The sequence below is a fragment of the Homo sapiens genome, chromosome 17, assembly GCF_000001405.40.
Source record: "Homo sapiens chromosome 17, GRCh38.p14 Primary Assembly".
NCBI lineage: Eukaryota > Metazoa > Chordata > Mammalia > Primates > Hominidae > Homo > Homo sapiens.
The window spans coordinates 30,458,749-30,477,151 of record NC_000017.11 but is presented as its reverse complement, the minus strand read 5'-3'; the positions used below and the strand labels follow the sequence as shown (position 1 = coordinate 30,477,151).

General features: G+C 37.7%; 1 protein-coding gene across 2 annotated transcripts in view; it reads right to left on the bottom strand.

The window, feature by feature from the left end:
- CPD (carboxypeptidase D) overlaps positions 7,163–18,403 on the bottom strand; it is a 91,063-nt gene continuing 79,822 nt past the window's right edge. The window contains exons 18-21 of one of the 2 annotated variants that reach the window (NM_001304.5): positions 15,841–15,972; positions 15,090–15,275; positions 14,683–14,782; positions 7,163–12,564 (exon numbers count right to left, since the gene is read on the bottom strand). In NM_001304.5, coding sequence (NP_001295.2) covers positions 12,338–12,564; positions 14,683–14,782; positions 15,090–15,275; positions 15,841–15,972 — 645 coding nt within the window. In that variant the 3' untranslated portion in view covers positions 7,163–12,337. The remainder of the gene's footprint in view (positions 12,565–14,682; positions 14,783–15,089; positions 15,276–15,840; positions 15,973–18,403) is intronic. The other variant, NM_001199775.1, reaches the window with a different exon arrangement.

Sequence of the window (18,403 nt, the reverse complement as noted above, 5' to 3'; positions counted from 1 at the left end):
GGGAGGAGAATCATCCTCAGGCAACTCCCTCAATTTCCCTCACCTTGTCTCTAATTTGTATCTTCAGCCAATTTCTTCCTTTCTCAGACATAGAGACCCTTTCTTCCCAGAGCCATTTCCTTCATCCTACCTCCCCGCCTGTGCTCCATCATCCACGTTCTTTGGCGTATGCGCTCTTCTCCACTGGCTGCTTTCCTTGTCTACAGCAGTTCTAGTCCCAGCCCTCTTTGTCCTTGTCAGCCGCCACATCTAGAAAGAGTGAGCTAACTGCTTCTACATGCTCTCGGCCTGAGCCCTCAACCTGATAAAATCTGCTGTCCAAACCCACACTTTATAGATACATAAATTATCACAGTCTACCGGTGCTGACTTAATTCTAGTGAAGTGTAGAAACCTTAATTCCTGTAAAGTTCTTTCCCCCACTCATTTATAATATAGTTGTTTTTAAGTATTTCCTCTGCATTCATTGAGGAGAACCACATCAGTGTTACAATATTTGCTTCAAGGGTCAGGCATAAGTTAGAGAATTCAAGAGAAGAGGAAAGCTTACTTGATTTATGCATATTTTACTCTTCTTCGTTCCTAGTGTCCCAAGATTCCTTTTTCTAATCGTTTCCTTTCTGTTTCAAGAATTTCCCTCAGCCATTTTTTTTTTAAAGAGTAGATCAGCTGGTGACAAATTCTATTAGTTTTTCTTCATCTGAGAATGTCTTGATTTCCCTTCATTCTTGGGGGATCGGATATTGTTGCCAGATATACAATCTGAAGTTGACAATTTCTTTCTTCAGCACTTGAAAAATGTGCCAATTCCTTCTGGCCTCCATAGTTTCAGATAAGAAATTGACTAAAATTGGAATTGTTTTTCCACTGTAGCTAAAATACATTTTCTCTCTCACTGCTTTCAAGAACTGTTCTTTAGTTTTCAGAAGTTATGATGTGCCTTGGTGTAGATTTCTTTGGATTTATCCTGTTTGGGATATCCTCAGCTTCTTGATTCTGACATTTATGTCTTCTGCCAAATTTGGGGGATTCTCAACCATTGTTTCTTCCAATACTTTTTCTGTCTCATACTGTTTCTCTTCTTTTTCTGGGAGTCTGATGACGTGAATGCTAGATCTTGTGTTAATGTCCCACATAGCTCTGAAGTTATGCTAATTTTTTTTCAGTCTATTTTCCATCATTCGGATTTGGTACTATCTACTATTCTGTCTTCAGATTTGCTGACAGAAAGTATGTCTTTCCTCTGTTCCCTCCATTCTGCTGTTGAGCCTATTCGTTGAGTTCATGTCAATTATTGCATTTTTCGTATCTAAAACTTCTGTTCAGTTCCTCATTATATCTTCTGTTTCTTTGCTGAGACTCGTTTTATCATTTGTTCTAAGTTTGTTTGTAATTGCTCACTAAAGTATTTTTATTAGAGCTGCTTTAAAGTCCTCATCAGATAATTCCAACATCTGTGTCATCTTGATGTTGGGGTCTGTTGTCTTTTTTTCACTCAAGTCGAAGTTCTCTGGGCTATTGGAATGACAATTTTTATAAATTGTATCCTGATGTTTCAGGTATTTGTTATGAGATTCTGATCTTATTTATGTCTTCTGTTTAAGCAGACTTCCTCTGACACTATGCTGCTGGGGGACATAGGGAAATGCTTGCTACTTCCAGGTGGCAGTGGAAGTTCAGGCTCTCCCTTGGCCTTCACTGATTCCCCAGGGAGGGGGTGCCTTGTTACTGCTCCGCATGTGGTCCCCACTGCCACCATGGCAGGGAGCCTCATTGCTGCTGTGCAATGGACGAGAAGTCCAAGTGGGGGATGGGTGGAGTGCTTCATTAGAGCCAGGTGAGTGTGGAAGCCTAGCCTCCTCACTCAGCCTTTGATGGCAAGGAGTGAAGATGGGCCTCAGTTTTTTCTGTGGCATTTGTCCAGAGTGGTGAAATTATTGTCCAAAAGTATTCTGTCTTGTTAGGATACCTGTTTCCTCATCCCTTGTCTGGAGAGAGAAGGCTTTCCATTTTCCTTTGGACTTTTCTTGTCTGCACCCTTTGGCATTTCTAGGTTGCCAGTTTCTCCAGCACCCAGTATAGGACATAGGAAACAAAAAGGAAACCCAGGGAACTCACCTTCATGTTCTTTACATTCTGAGGTCCTTAGCTGGTCTGCCTTCTTCTTTCCACCTTTTTGAGTCTTTTTAAAAATATATATATATGATTTTTTTTTTTTTTGCTGTGCTTAGTGGGAAAAATAGAAAGAAATACAGCTAATCCATTTTGTCCAGAAGTGAAATTGTTGATTTAATTTTTAAATGTTTTAATTATCGGGCTGGATGTAGTGGTTCATGCCTCTAATCCCAGCACTTTGGGAGGCTGAGGTGGTAGGATTGCTTGAGTCCAGGAGTTTGAGGCCAGCCTGGGCAACATAGTAGGACCTCATCTCTACAAAAAATTTAAACATTAGCCAGGCGTGGTGATGCGCCCTATAGTCCCGCTACTCAAGAGGCTGAAGTGGGAGGATTGCTTGAGCCCTGGAGGTCAAGGCTGCAGTGAGCCATCACCACACCACTGCACTCCAGCCTGGGTGACAGAGTAAGACCCTGTCTTAAAAAAAAAAACCTGCTAAAATTCTTCATCTTGTCTTCTACTTTCTTGAATTCATTCATCATCATTCTTTTTTTTTTTTTTTTTTTTTTGAGACAGAGTCTTGCTCTGTCGCCCAGGCTGGAGTGCAGTGGCACGATCTCGGCTCACTGCAACCTCCACCTCCTGAGTTCAAGGATTCTCCTGCCTCAGCCTCTCAAGTAACTGGGATTACAGGTGCCTGCCACCACACTGGCTAAGTTTTGTATTTTTAGTAGAGATGGGCTTTCACCATATTACCTGGGCTGGTCTCGAACTCCTGACCTTGTGATCCTCCCACCTCAGCCTCCCAAAAGTGCTGGGATTACAGGTATGAGACACTGCGCCCGGCTTTTTTTTTTTTTTTTTTTTTTTTTGAGACGGAGTTTCGCTCTTGTCACCCAGGCTGGAGTGCAATGGCGTGATCTCAGCTCACTGCAACCTCCGCCTCCTGAGTTCAAGTGATTCTCCTGCCTCAGCCTCTCGTGTAGCTGGGATTACAGGCATGCACCACCACGCCCAGCTAATTTTGTATTTTTATTAGAGATGAGGTTTCTCCATGTTGGCCAGACTGGTCTCAAACTCCCAACCTCAGATGATCCGCCCACCTCGGCCTCCCAAAGTGCTAGGATTACAAAGGCGTGAGCCACCGCACCCGGCCCATCATCATTCTTTAAAAATTTCTGATAACTGAGAAATCTGTACTTCCCATAGGATTGTTTCTATTTTTCTTGATCATTCACAATTTAATCTTGTCTTTTGATAATAAGAACTTTTGATTGGATGCTATATATTATAGATACAACTTTGTATTAATCATTTGAGGATCTAGATGATGTTGTCTTTCTCCAGAAAGAATTTACTGCCTCTTCTTGCAGGCAGTTCAGGTAGGGGCAGATCAGCTTAATCCAGTATGGGGTGGAACTAATACCAAGAGGGATTCTGTGTTTGTTAAAATTGGTCTATTTTTGGTTAACCCTTAATTCTAATGTCTAGCCATTCAGGTTTCCTAACTGGAAGACTGTTTACCAGTGCCACCTCCTTGACAGGTGCTAACCTCATATTTTCCTCCACCCAGTGATACTGCCTAAAACTTCTGTTTGAGTTCTCTGTCTCTTGCCTGGCCTCTCTTCTGTCACCTATGAATTGAAACATACCTGGAGGTGAAAGTTTTACCATCATGCTCACCTCTCAGCTCTTTTTGTTCCGGGATCTTGATCCTATAAGTCCTTCTTACATTAGTAGTTCTCCAATCCTTCAAACAGTTTTTTTTTAAAATAAAATTTAGCTTTTCTAATTGCTCTTGACGAGAAGTCTTTCCATTTCAAGCCAATCCACTCACAGCTGGAAGTGGAACTAAATTTTATTATTTCTAATTTATCTGTAGATTATTTTGTATTTTCCATATATATAAGCATATCATCTAATAATGACAAATTCATCTTATCAATATTCATTCATATATGCTATTTATATTTTCATGTTTCATGGCTGAGATCTGTTCTGATAATAGAGCAAAGCTAAGGTATTAAATACTTTAGTAGGTATTTTTGTTGGCATGTTCGGGGAGGAGTTGTAAGTGCTCTGATTTTGCAGTTCTCATTTGACTAGCAGGACTCGAATTTCCTCCTTTTCTTCTTTTCATCACCTAATTTTCTTTTGCTTCTTTTCATCACCTAATTGTCAAAGGTGCTTCTCCTTTTTTCATTTTTCCCTTCACTAGACGCTCTTCTTTTCTTTTCTTTTGAAGCTGTGTGTTTCAAAGACTGCCTCATTAAGTCACACCTGCCCCCTTTAAATTGTGCTCACTCTGAAGCCTCTTGCCTCTGGTTTCTGCCCGGATCTGCTTGGACATGTTTTTGAGATTGAGAGTTAGGTGGACCTAGTCTTTCTGGCAGTAGTTTTAGGCCAAGATTAGAACATTACTTTCTTTTTCTGGCGTCCCTCTCCTGACTTCCCTGCAGTTTATCTCCATCTGGCTTCGCTCCACAGAGCCTGTGGGATGCTGCTGGGGTGGGCCTGTGAGAATCCATGTTGCGATCTGCTGATTTTCCTCATCTTACTCAGTTTGAAGTTTCAAAATTCTCTGACTTCAAATTATGCTGAGAGTGTGATTTCTGTATACTTTTTCCTTCGTGTGCTTGCATTATTTTGCAATGAAATATCGGGAGACAGGTAGCTAGGCTGCCACTAATGTTTTCAGCGACCGGGAAGTTCGCTTTCATTCTTGAAAGGTATGTTCAATACAGAATTCTATGTTGGAAGTTATTTAATGTTTTCCCCAGCATTTTTAAAGTATAATTTCAATGTACTTTGGCTTCTATTGTTGAGAGTGTCTAATTGCTAATCTCTTTTGTCTTTGTCTTTGTTGATCTGCAATTTCACTGATCTAAGTGTGGATGTTACTTTTTCTTGCTTGGATTGAGTTTCTTTAATCTATGGGTTGCTATCTTTATCAATTTGGGGAAAATTCTCATTGCCTCTTAGTTTCCTATGCACTTTCTTTTCTTTCTTCTAAAACTGTGGTTATCAAACATGTGGTATTAGTTGTATGCCAAATCCACATTTTAACCCTCTCCTTTGTATTTTCTACCTTTTTGTCTCCATGCTACGTAAGAATTTCTACAGATCTGTCTTCTAGTTAATTACTTCTCTGTGCCCAATCTGCCACTCCAACTATCCATTTTAGTTTCTGTACTTTCATTTCCAGAAGTTCTGCTATTATTTTATAGATCTTTGTGATAGTCTCAGGTTTATCTTTTATTCATTTGAAAACAATAATTATATTTTACAGTGTTCAATAATATAAACATCTGAAACCTGTATAAAAGTTTTTCTGCTCTTCTTTTACTTGTGAAAAATTGTGAGGTCTGCTCCAACTCTAGGAGGGACACACCTTCCACTAGAGATTTCAATTGAACTTGGTCACCTAGAAGCAGAGCCACATGGCTTGACACCTGGAGTACCCAAACTGTGCATGGCTGCCTAGATTCTAGACATCCTATTTCCTATGCCCAGGCCCTCTTTCCAATGTGTTCCATTCACGTTCTGCTAAATAGAAAACTGTGTATAATCCTTCCTCTTTTGTCCTCCCAACACTCACATCTTCCAAATCAAAACCCAGGAGTCAACTCTGTATGATCTCTGCAACTTTTCTATAAATCTAAAATTATTACTTTTAAAAATATAGCAGTCCTGTCAGTCATTACTGTAACTTGCCCAGTCCCTTTCTGTTCCATTCCCTCTCAATAGCATCAATGCTTTTGACTGTAGATCAAAAGCCTGTTTAGTCTTGAAAAACTCTGCTAGGAACCATATGTACATAAATAAATAATAAATAACAATAATAAATACTGGAATAACCTCAAATATTTGAAATTAGCAATCTAGACTTTCTCCATTACTCCTTCACTTTGGCTCCACCTCAATGGCAATCACAGAATATAATCCATGTTATCATAGCAATTTCTATTTAATCTGCACTCTATTTCCTCCGTGTTCCGTCTTAAGTTTCTCCACTTGCTGATTTTCCACCTACAGTTTTGACTTGATCACTGCCTCTTCATATTGCTGAATTTGAAATATCCATCTCAGTATACTCCCACTTCCAATTACCATACCTTCAATCTTATCAAGTAATTCTCACCCTTTTTTCCTCAGTCTTCTAGGCTGGCCTCTAAACTTCAACACCTTACTACTCCATATAGGCCATCCTGTCTCATTCGTGCTTACCTTGTCTACATTTGTTTACACAGTAATTAGGGAAGAGGATTATTTGACCTCAACTAAAATGCCAAAGAAATAGCATGTTTACTTTTAATATTCTACTAATGTAGGTGAAAATTGTGATATTAAAGTTAAAATTGGGCCGGGCGCAGTGGCTCACGCCTGTAATCCCAGCACTTTGGGAGGCCAAGGTGGGAGGATCACTTGAGGTCAGAAGTTCCAGACCAGCCTGGCCAACATGGCGAAACCCTGTCTCTACTAAAAACACAAAAATTAGCTGGGCGTGATGGCGCATGCCTGTAATTCCAGCTACTTGGGAGGCTGAGGCAGGAGAATTGCGTGAACCCGGGAGCCAGAGGTTGCAGTGAGCCGAGATCGTGCCACTGCACTCCAGCCTGGGAGACAGAGTGAGACTCTGTCTCAAAAAAAAAAAAAAAAAAAAAATATATATATATATATATACATATATATGTATGTATATGTATATACATGCATACATATGTATGTGTATACATATACATACACACGTATGTATGTATATACATATACATACACACACGTATGTACATACATACACGTGTATATGTACATACATATACACGTGTGTATGTATGTACATATACATACATATATATATATAGAGAGAGAGAAAGGTAAAATTGGGCTTTATCTACTGATTTTATTGCTTTAAAGTTGTGTGTAATAATTAATGGTGTATTTATCTGAGGTTTGCAATAAATAGCATAGAACCAGTTGGTATTCTAACTATAAGTGAGTCTAAGACATGAAGACCCACACAATGGCACTTATTCATAATTGAGTAGTATTAGCGTTGACCATCATGTTTAATTTGCTGAGAACAATCAGCTATTATAAATCTGAAAAGCTGAACATAATAACTAGATTACTGTTTATGAAACAAACCAAAAGGGTTCTTGATTCAGGTATGAGAAAACTAAGAAAATTCAGGAAAATATTTCAAACACTGAGAGAAAAAGAACTGTTATCACTATTCACACTTCCTGTAGCAGTTAAGTAACGTTGTTTTCACTAAAGAAGCATAAATACAACTTAATTTCATTTAAAAACAAATATGAAGCATCTTGGCATAATTAAAACTTTACTGCCATGCTTTAGACAATCTATTGAACCACATAATAAAAAATTTCTTTTTTTATTTGTGTCTCAGAATTTCTTCTAAATTAAAAAGATCACCTATAAACAGATCTTTATTTATACATTTGATAAAGTAACTTTCTTTCAAAGGCATAAGAAGACATCACATGAAGGAAAATGATGCTGGTTACCATGGGCATTCAATTCCAAGTCAAATATTATGTTGGGACCTTTGCTAACATTATTTCATTTAATTTTCCACTGCAATCCTATCAAGGATTATTCAACCAGTAGAGAAACTGAGGCTCAGAGAATGTCAAGAAACTTGTACAAGGTCACATTGGAAGCAAGTAGCAGAACGAAGAATCAGTCACAGATTGGTCCAACTCCAAAGTCCATGCTCAAACCTCTATGCTTTATTTCCTTTACAGCAGAGACTTTTAGATGAACCAATCACTATTGAAATATAACCTATTTCCATTTATATTTCTCTGGTCTGGACTATGAGTACTTTATCAGCAGAGTCTGTTTCTCATACAACTTTGCTTTCCCAATTCCTATTAGGGTAGAAGTAACACATTGTTGCTAAGTGAAAAGGGGATATTGAATTCATCCTTGCTGTGCCTAAAAGTGCCGGGACACATTATTCTAACTGGGCCTCACCTGGAAAAAGGACCAAATTTTTAACGAACAAGTTTAAAATGCGTACATAAAAACCTTTCAATGACCAGTTTTGTGTTGTTATTGTGAAATGATTGAACATATATAACAATCTAGCTGAGCTACAAACAGAAAACTGTGGCTACTACATAATGCGATTTCAGAAACAAAGCTTTCTTTTGAGTCAATTCATAAATACAGAAACATTCCATAGGTGATACCCTGTATTCTGATCCTGGTACTATTTTTCCACTAGCATAGGCAGAAAAACTAAATAATTTTCAAACTGGACCTATAACTTTTTCCGGCATATTGCATCTGAAAAAAGATTATGAGACAAAACACAAAGAAAGACAAACATCGTAAAATAACTTTTATACAGGATTAGTAGATCTGTTTACATATAAAAAACAGAAAGGACCTCATTACAGTTAGATTTCACATAAATTACAAATTGACTTTTAAAAACTACTATTCAACTTCATTTAAAGTCCCTTTTAAAAATTTCATTTTGAAGGCACAGTGCATGAAATAAACCAAAGACTGAAGCACTTGAGATGAATGGGTGTTGGGCACCTCACATAAACAGCTGTAGATTGCTCTAGAACTGGGAGTATCACTTGGAAAAACTGGAGAGGTGAAAAGCTGATTTTTAATCTGAGCATAAAAAAATACTATTGTCATACCTCCAGAAAATCTGTAGCATGGCCAGCATAGAAGGTAGTTAGTACACTCATGTTATGCCATTTATAAAAATCATAATCATACATATTTACATAATTTATATCCAACTGCCTCAAAATGGTAACCTACTTTCAAATTTCATAATGTATGCTGTCAAATCAAAATCAACCAGGACAATATTCTGAAAATCAAGTGGAATCATTAACGAATTATTGCTAAAAATAGGATAAATGGGTATTGGGAGAGATTTCTTCATGAACTAGAAATCCAAGTTCAGCTGACATTAATCAAAGACCCAAATCATATCCCCAAAATTTTAGCTAAAACAAATCAGAAACCCAAAGAGTTACCAAAAAAGTTGCTATAGAAAATCACTGAACATCAATCATAGTGGAATTTTTGGTAATAACAATAAAACAAAAATATATTGGAAATCCTGGGTTGTCACTGTTAAAACAATTCCACCAGAAAACCATAATGTAGGGCACTATTACAGAATTCATTGCCAAGAAGCTTTTCATACAGCAGGGACAATACCTGGCACAAGTGCATTTCTGGCAACAACAAGATAAAACTATTTAATGTTGAGAATAAATGGAAATGGAGGAGCAGGTCATGGTTACTGAGTAACCTGGTGTTAGCTCAAACACAATAAGCTCAGACATAAACACTACCTTTTATTTATTTGTCAACTCATAATTAGTTTTAAATTCAATAGTCATTAATTCAGCAAATCCCATTCAAGTAAAAGTTACCAAAGATAAAGCAATCAATCACACTGGGCCAAATATACAATATGTTTCCTTTCTGGAAGATGACAAAGTCCCAAAGCAAATCCCTTCAATGAGCATTGCAAGCATTCCTCAACTGGATAGGATCCCACTCACTACCCAAGTGTTCAGCAAAATGCATCAAAACTGAAGGGTCTTTCTTTCTGAAATGACTTGGGCACATCTTACTGAACTACATAATCAATACAAGTACATGTACACAGGCAGACACTTTGAACATTACCTACTCAATCACTTTGCTTTTATTAAGGAGCTGGGAAGGAAGAAGGCTTACAAACTGATCACCAGGACAAAGCCCATGCCTTGTGAGTAAAGAAAGGCACAACTCAGATTTAGGCAAATTTCTTAATACTATGATACTTACTTGCCGCCATAACTCCAAGGAAATGGAAAGTCTCTCGGAGAAACACTGAAGAAATGCATTCCCCATCCCATATGGCTTCAATGCCTTAAGCGGTTAATATATTCTAATATTAGATTAGACCCGCAAATAAAAGACAGGGCAGGGCTGAGAATATAGTCTTAGTAGTCAGGTATCCTATACATTCACGCTTCTAGGTAATACAAGCTGGGAAAGTCTTGTTTTCCAGCTAAATGCATTATTTAAAAGTTCATTGAAGATCAAGACTTATAGCAGAATTTGGTTTTTCTTTCAGGAAATATTACTAAAATAACTATGTGTATGTTCATTTCTTTAAAAATTTTACACATGCTTAAAAGGCATGGCCTCCAGCCACTGAGATGTACAGTTAAAGACATATTTGATCCAAGAGAGAAGTACATGTAAAAGGTATCCTCTAGTGAAGACCAATGATAACAAAGCAAAGCTTGTCACATTAACTTTGTTTCACTTGCTGTAATGTCCCAAGCAGGGGCAGCCACTCTTAGGCCCCTTGTTGGTTTCCTGACTGTACTCTTAAAAATAAAGCTGAAAAAGAGCAATACACCACCATCCTTAAAGAAAACATAAAGATTATTAGAAATTAAATCATGTATACTTCACTAACTATTAGCATCCCACAAGCTCTGTTCCATGTATGAGGTGGCAGAATTTACAGTTGCTAATACCAGAATACCAGAATGGCTTAACCTTGAACCACGGATTTATCACAGATACTTATTAACAAATGACATGACCTCATTATTCTTGCTAAAGAAAATCTTCTTTTATAAAGCCACTTTGAATGCATTCCTCACAAAACCTGGTTGAACGACCTAGGAAGGTGGTAAACCCCTCCACCTGAAGGCTTTGGGATAACTGATACATTAATGGATATAGAATACAATTTGAGAAGATAAGAGCAAGTTTTTTGGTCCCCTGATTTAGTATAAGTTCAGCAGCAACTTGGTTATTAAAACATTCAAAGGTATTAAACCGTTACATCATTGGTAAGATGCATACTTACAAAAAGCATCATTTCCATTGCATGATAAGACAGACATAATAAAATGCAAATCTTTCCGGTCTTTGCCTGATTGGCAGTGAAGATGACACTTTCACACCACAGTGTTTTATCACTCAGCAGTCATAGTTTACATTTTTTTTCAAGGGAGGAAGCTATACTTAAAAGCTTTCGACTGAACTTTTAGAAAAATTGGTTGATCAAAAAGAGACCGTCAAATGAAACATTAGGGCAAAGAACCAAATCACTCCCAGAGGCCTATGTGAACAAGACCGGTCAAGCGATTTCAATAATAGTATGCTATTACAGGGTATAGGCTTGGGCTGGAGCATGAAGTATAGATATTTTGTGTTCAAATACAGGTTAAGAATGTGCAAGTAGGTCTCTTCCACATTTCTAGATATTTTCAGTAGAATTCAGATCTTGTAGATGGCTGGGTCATCTGAAAACCATGTGTGCAACATAGAAAAAGGTTCCGATTTAGGCAATATTAAAGAATCAGGCATTCCTAGAATAAGCTAGTGCTTCACAGATATAAGCAGCAGCACCTGTGGGTTTTTACCAAGTTCAAAGATAGACAACATGAGTTTTAGCTTTTGCTAGATCTCTCTCTCAGCTTCATTCAAGTGGGCATTTAGACCTTTCACAATAAAGTTAGTAAGTTCTCCCTTAAAATGGGCTATTTAGAAGTTTGCTAAACCTTAAGAGAGGTAGTGAAATCCTGCTTACAGCGTAGTCTACCAGTTCCGATCTAGCCTTGGAACAGGTAGAAAGCCAAATGCAGAAGCCCATTTATTCATTTCCTACTGTTATATGTGTTTAAAAATCAATTCAACCTCCATTAAACCTGAATAAGAAAAACTCCAGCTATTTAACAACTAGAGAAAAGTACTCCTCAGTAGGTTGAAAAAACCTTGAGTTTTTAAAGCTTTATGTCGATTCTGACTGCTGTCCCTGCCTTAATGTTTCTGGATTCTTTTGGCCATTTAAAACAAAGAAAAATACTAAAGCCACTAGTAAACATCTGATGTGCAAAATACAACATCCTCTAGTTGGCTTTATGCCATTATTACATAAGCTCCAAATAGCTCATCTTAAATTAAAAAGAAAAAGTGGCTGTCCCATCTCTGCTGCATAAATCAGATTTTTTTTTAAAGGTTTAGAGTACTTTAAGGAAGGGAAGTTCAAAACTGCCAGTGAAATTCACAGAGAATACAAATTTAGCAATTTAATTTCCCAAAGCTCTTTGAAGAAGCAAGAGAGTCTCTCTTCTTAATGCAGTGTTCTCCCAAGAGGAACTGTAATTTTGCTTGGTACTTATGCTGGGAGATATGCAAAATGTGTTTTTCAATGTTTGCTAGAATATAATGTTTCCTCTTCAGTGTCTGTTTCATCCTGGAACTCATGGCTTAGGAGGGACTTCTTGGAGCCGGTAGACATCATGCGAATTTCATCTTCATACTCATCATGATGCTGCCTGAGCCGATGAAAGCCATCCTTGTGTCTATTAGACTTGATTGAGCAGATGCACCAAATAATGCAAGCTGTTAGGATCAATGCCGACATAGTAGCACCTGACAAACAAAAACCATCATGTGGGTGATATTATACTTTAAGGATATTAATAAGCAGCCGCTTACAATGGAACTTTTAATAATATACCCCTCATTTATTTTATTTCTATTTCATGCACTTAAGAACAACCTTTATTATTATAGAAGCAGTATATGTACAATATACAAAGTTTAAAAATACAGATAAGCAAACTAACAAAAGCCAAAACCAAAAAACCTCCTATATTTACATTTCCATTACCCAGAGATCATTTTTAGTTATAAGATCTTTTGTGTGTGTGTGTAATCCTCCCACCTCAGCCTCCCAAGTAGTACCACAGGTGCATGCCACCACACCTGGCTAATTTTTTTTTATTTTTGCTAGAGATAGGGTTTTGCCATGTTGCCCAGGCTAGTCTAGAACTCCTGACTTCAAGTGATCCACCTGCCTCGGCCTCCCAAAGTGCTGGTATTACAGGCGTGAGCCACCATGCCTGGCTCCAGATCTTTCTTTATGCATATGCACGTACATGTATTTTTTTTCTTTTACCATAATGAAATTATACTGTGTCTACTGTTCTGCAACCTGCTTTTTATGACTTCTATTATACTTTTCCTTTCCAGTAAACTTTCATTTCATCCAAATCTCCTTGTTTATTTTAAATTTGTACAAGGTTATCAAAATAAAAGTGTTAGAAACTAAAAGTAATAAAAACTAAGTTCACAATAGCTAATGGGTGACAGAGCCAGATTTAAACCATGGCTGAATTCTACCTCCTGTGTTTTTAACCACTAAGTTATTTACACTTTATCTGAGACAAGCTAAGAACCCTTTAAACACACCACACAGGATCTATGATTGGGCCATGTTTCCAATATACTACTTTCTCTCAACTAAGGGTCTCTCCCACAGGAACCCTGTGATAAAACTTGGTTATTCTGCCTCATCCAAGCTGCACTTAGAAATAAACTAAGGCTGTTTGTATCAAATAGATAAAGTATAGCAGAGTATTCATTTTACCACATTTTTTTCCTTCCTAACCTTTCAGTAATCCAAGCAATGACATGAATTAGTTCCAGCGTAAACAAACATTTCCTCTTTCCTGGATCTTGAAAAAGCGGAACTAATATAAGTCAAAGTCCTAGGAACTTATGACTTTAATATAAAGCAAATCATTCATTCATTCAACAACTCTTCATTAAGACCCACTGCGTGCTAACCATCGTTCTAGGCTTGGAGGATACAGGTAGATTCCTCCCTCTCTCAGAACTTATGTTTTAGTGGGAGAGATTGAATATAGACAAATACATGAACAAATATATAATGTTATGAAAGTGCTATAATGAAAAAAAGCAGGATAGAGATAGTGACAGGGGTAGCTAGGGTGATCAGGGAAAGCCTCTCCGTGGAGGTGACGTTTGAGTATAGACCTGAAGAAAGAGAAGTGTTGGGAACAGGCCCCCCAAAATATGGCCATAAACTGGCCCCAAAACTGGCCATAAACAAAATCTCTGCAGCACTGTGACATGTTCATGATGGCCATGACATCCACACTAGAAGGTTGTGGGTTTACCGGAATGAAGGCAAGGAACACCTGGCCCGCCCAGGGCGGAAAACTGCTTAAAGGCGTTCTTAAACCACAAACAATAGCATGAGTGATCTGTGCCTTAAGGACATGCTCCTGCTGCAGATAACTAGCCCAACCCATCCCTTTATTTTGGCCCATCCCTTCGTTTCCCATAAAGGATACTTTCAGCTAATATAATATCTATAGAAACAATGCTAATGACTGGCTTGCTGTTAATAAACACCTGGGTAAATCTCTGTTGGAGGTTCTCAGCGCTGAAGGCTATGAGACCCCTGATTTCCCACTTGACACCTCTATATTTCTGTGTGTGTCTTTAATTTCTCTAGCACCGCTGGGTTAGGGTCTCCTTGATGGAGCTGGTCTCGGCAGAGAAAGGCAAGCCAGGAGAACATATGCGAGAACAGAGGTCCAGGAAAATCACATTTAGATAAGGAGACATTAGAAGACAAGTGATTAGTTTCAGGATCAATATGAGAGAGGTGACCCACTCTCATATTGAAATGTCAAGATTGTTTTTAACTTTTACTACTAAAAATCAAAATGTCTTTACCTGATACAGTTACCACAAGCTCCCTTGGCAAACCAAATATCCGGTTATCTGTGTCAAAGACTATCACCACAGAACTAGCTGCATCATGATGCACAAAGACCTAGAAGGAGAAAGTGTAAGAATCATGACAAATTCTGCTTAAGGTGTACTGTATCCCTGCTATATTATTAGGCCCCATATAGCAAACTAAGGAGATGATGCATTGCCATCTAAAGTATACAAAATGCTAGAAAATTTTCCCTTTTGTTAGCAAGGGGTACAAGGATAACAAGATATCATAATCAAGAGGCAGTCACACTTTTAATTTCTTTATTCCCTTCAAGATTTCTAACAAGAGTTTCAAAATAAAACAGAAGTATTATTAAGAATAAAAATTTACATGATGCTACTCAATTTGAGTTTCTTACCTGTGAATGTTGTTGCTGGTACCCATCAGCGATGGCAATAATGTTATGGACACCTGGCGCTAAGAGTACATGGAAATAACCTCCCTCTTTTGTTTGTACCTTTATTCCTTCATTAAGTACAATGACTGCTTTAGAGATTGGCTTTCCAGTCTTATCTTTAACAAATCCATGAACTCCCTTGTGAACCTGAAAAAATGTTTAAAATATAAATTTATGTTGTCATAATGCCAGACATGGTAGAGGCACTAGCTTGAGGCATGACCAAAACCAACCAAACAAACAAACAAAACAAAAACCACACACAAACAAGTATCAAACTCTGTATGGCCTGCTTCTTCTCTTCCCTCCCCACTGACTCTGACCTTGTTTGCTATTCATTCAATATTCAGGCTCACAGAGCTGGAAATAAAAGAGAACTCTGATATTGTCATAGCCTGAAGCATTAGAACCCAATCTTCCAATGCCTTGAGTGATTTCCTTCCCACCATGGTATACTGACTCCAGTAACTCTGTGATATTCAAATTAAAGAACTTGCAGCATCTTGCAAGGTCAAATTACCTAAATTATAGCAGATTCCAGAGATGTGAATAAATGGCATCTATTTAGGAAACATAAAATGACCAAAACTCTTCTTTCTATATAAATTTAAAATAAATAATATACATTTTTGGTAAAAGACAATGTTTTGATAAAGGTTTTCACTGAACATATTCCTGGGAGTTTGCCTCTAGTTAAAAGGAAAAGACTCACCTCCACTAACATACTAAGAAGAGATCTCTTATTGTCTGCCCACAAGGAAGGGAGTCGTGCAGCACTAGGAAAGTAACAGCAGCTTGTGTATACTGTGATTTCCGGACAATGGCCATAGGTGACACTATAATCCTAGAATATAAAGTTCAAAATCAAATGTGGGAAAATTAATAAGTAAAAGAAAGAATAAGGCTTTGTAATACAACAAATGGAGTAAATGAAAAGAAAACGTAGCTGACGTAAACAAAGAAGCTGTAAAGCATTTTATGACAAATATAAATAAACCTCTCTGTATTATAATCAATCACAAACTCTATGAGAGCCCTTGAGGACAGGGGCTATGTCGAATTCATTTTCCTATCTTCAGTGCTTCCCACAGTGCCTGGTAGTGCCAGGTAGATGGGGTTTATTCGGGTTTGCTGAAGAAATGAATGAATGAGTACATGCAGAAGAGGGTCAGCTTCCCTCAAAACCCAGAAATGTCACAGTTGTACTTGAAGCTATGGAGATAATGATCATCAGCTCTCTCATACCCTCAACCTGGACCCCTGCTGGTGACAATATCCACTCCCTGCAATACGGCATTGATATTATCAAGGTACAGGAACTGCCTGTGCAGACAGGTTCAAAAACCCAACTTACCACCTTTTCCCAAAATCTCTTCTTTTTCCTAACTCAGTTAATGGTATTAACTCATTTTCTTACATAGCAATGAAACCTCTTGTCTTTGACTTCTCTATCTCACTATCATCCATAATTTGCTGAATCTTGTCAATTCTACCTCTATAGAATATCTAAAATGTCATCCTTTGACTCTACTCTCGTTGCCACTAGCATAACCTAGGCCCTCATTACTTTTTGTCTAGATAATTCCAAACCGGTCTCCCTGTACCAGTCTCTCCTTCCTCCAAACTATCTTAACTGATTATTTAGAGATTAGTTTTCCCATAGCATAGCTCAGATCATGTCAATATTGTTACCCCTGCTCAAAACCTCAGTTTCCCATTCTTATTAAAACAAAGCATTCAAAGCAACAAGCACTCTTTCCATTCTTAAACTTCTGTGGCTCTGCATTACACCCCATATTCTAACTAAATTAGACTTCTGCTATGTACTGCTTCCTCTTTCTGGAATGTTCTGCTTCACTATCTCTGCAGCCCAAATGCCATCTCCTCTAAAGAGAAAAGGCTGTATCTCTGACTAGATATAATTTTTTGTGTCTTTAATTTCTCACGGCCTGCTGAGAGTTGCTCTCTTCCAGATCAAATCAATTAATTATGTAACACAGTTAATTCGTACAATAGGCCAGGCAGTATATTTTATTTATCACTAATATAGCAAAATGCCTCCCAGTAGTAAGTTCTTAGTAAATAAAGGAGGGAAGACAGGCAGAAATGGGAATAAAGTCAATTTTCTGGTTGCACATGTGAATAAAATGATCAGCCAACCACCCATCTGCTAACAACTCCTGCCTAATTTGAAGTGGATGGACAATGAATTAAAATGCTGTCAGAAATTAAAGAAGACCTAAATAATGGATAGGAGGACAATATTGTAGAGATGTCAATACTACACAAAGTGATATACGGTTTTAACACAACATCTAACAAAATTCCAACACCCCTTTTCTCAGAAAAAGAAAAGCCAATGCTCAAATTCAAATGGAATGACAAGGGGCCCTGAATAGCCAAAACAATCTTTAAGAACAATAAAGCTGAAAGACTCACACGTTCCAATTTTACAACTTACTACAACAAACCTACATTAATCAAAACAGTGATACTGATGAAGCTGGAAACCATCATTCTCAGCAAACTATCGCAAGGACAAAAAACCAAACACCGCATGTTCTCACTCATAGGTGGGGACTGAACAATGAGAACACATGGACACAGGAAGGGGAACATCACACACCAGGGCCTGTTGTGGGGTCGGGGGAGGGATAGCATTAGGAGATATACCTAATGTTAAATGATGAGTTGATGAGTGCAGCACACCAACATGGCACATGTATACATATGTAACTAACCTGCACGTTGTGCACATGTACCCTAAAACTTAAAGTATAATAAAAAAATAAATAATAAATAATAAATAATAAATAAAAATAAATAAAAAATAAATTAAAAAAAAGGAAAACAACAACCAAAAAAAAAAAAAAAAAAGTGATACTGGCATAAAGGCAAACATATAGACCAATGGAATAGAATTGAGAGTCCAGAAATAAATCCACACATCTATGGTAAACTCATTTTTGGGAAGGATACCAAAACCATTCAGTGGGGAAAGAATAGTCTTTCAACAAATAGTGCTGACACAACTGAATTTCTACATACAAACAAACGAAGTTGAACTCCTACTTCATACCATAAAAAATAAACTGCATCAATGACTGAAATATGGCAGCTTGATCCATAAAACTCTTTTTTTTCTTTTTTTTTTTTTTGAGACAGGGTCTCACTCTGTTGCCCAGACTCAAGTGAAGTGGCAAGATCTCGGCTCTTCGCAATCTTCCCATCCCAGGCTCAAGCAATTCTCCTGCCACAGCCTCCCGGGTAGCTGG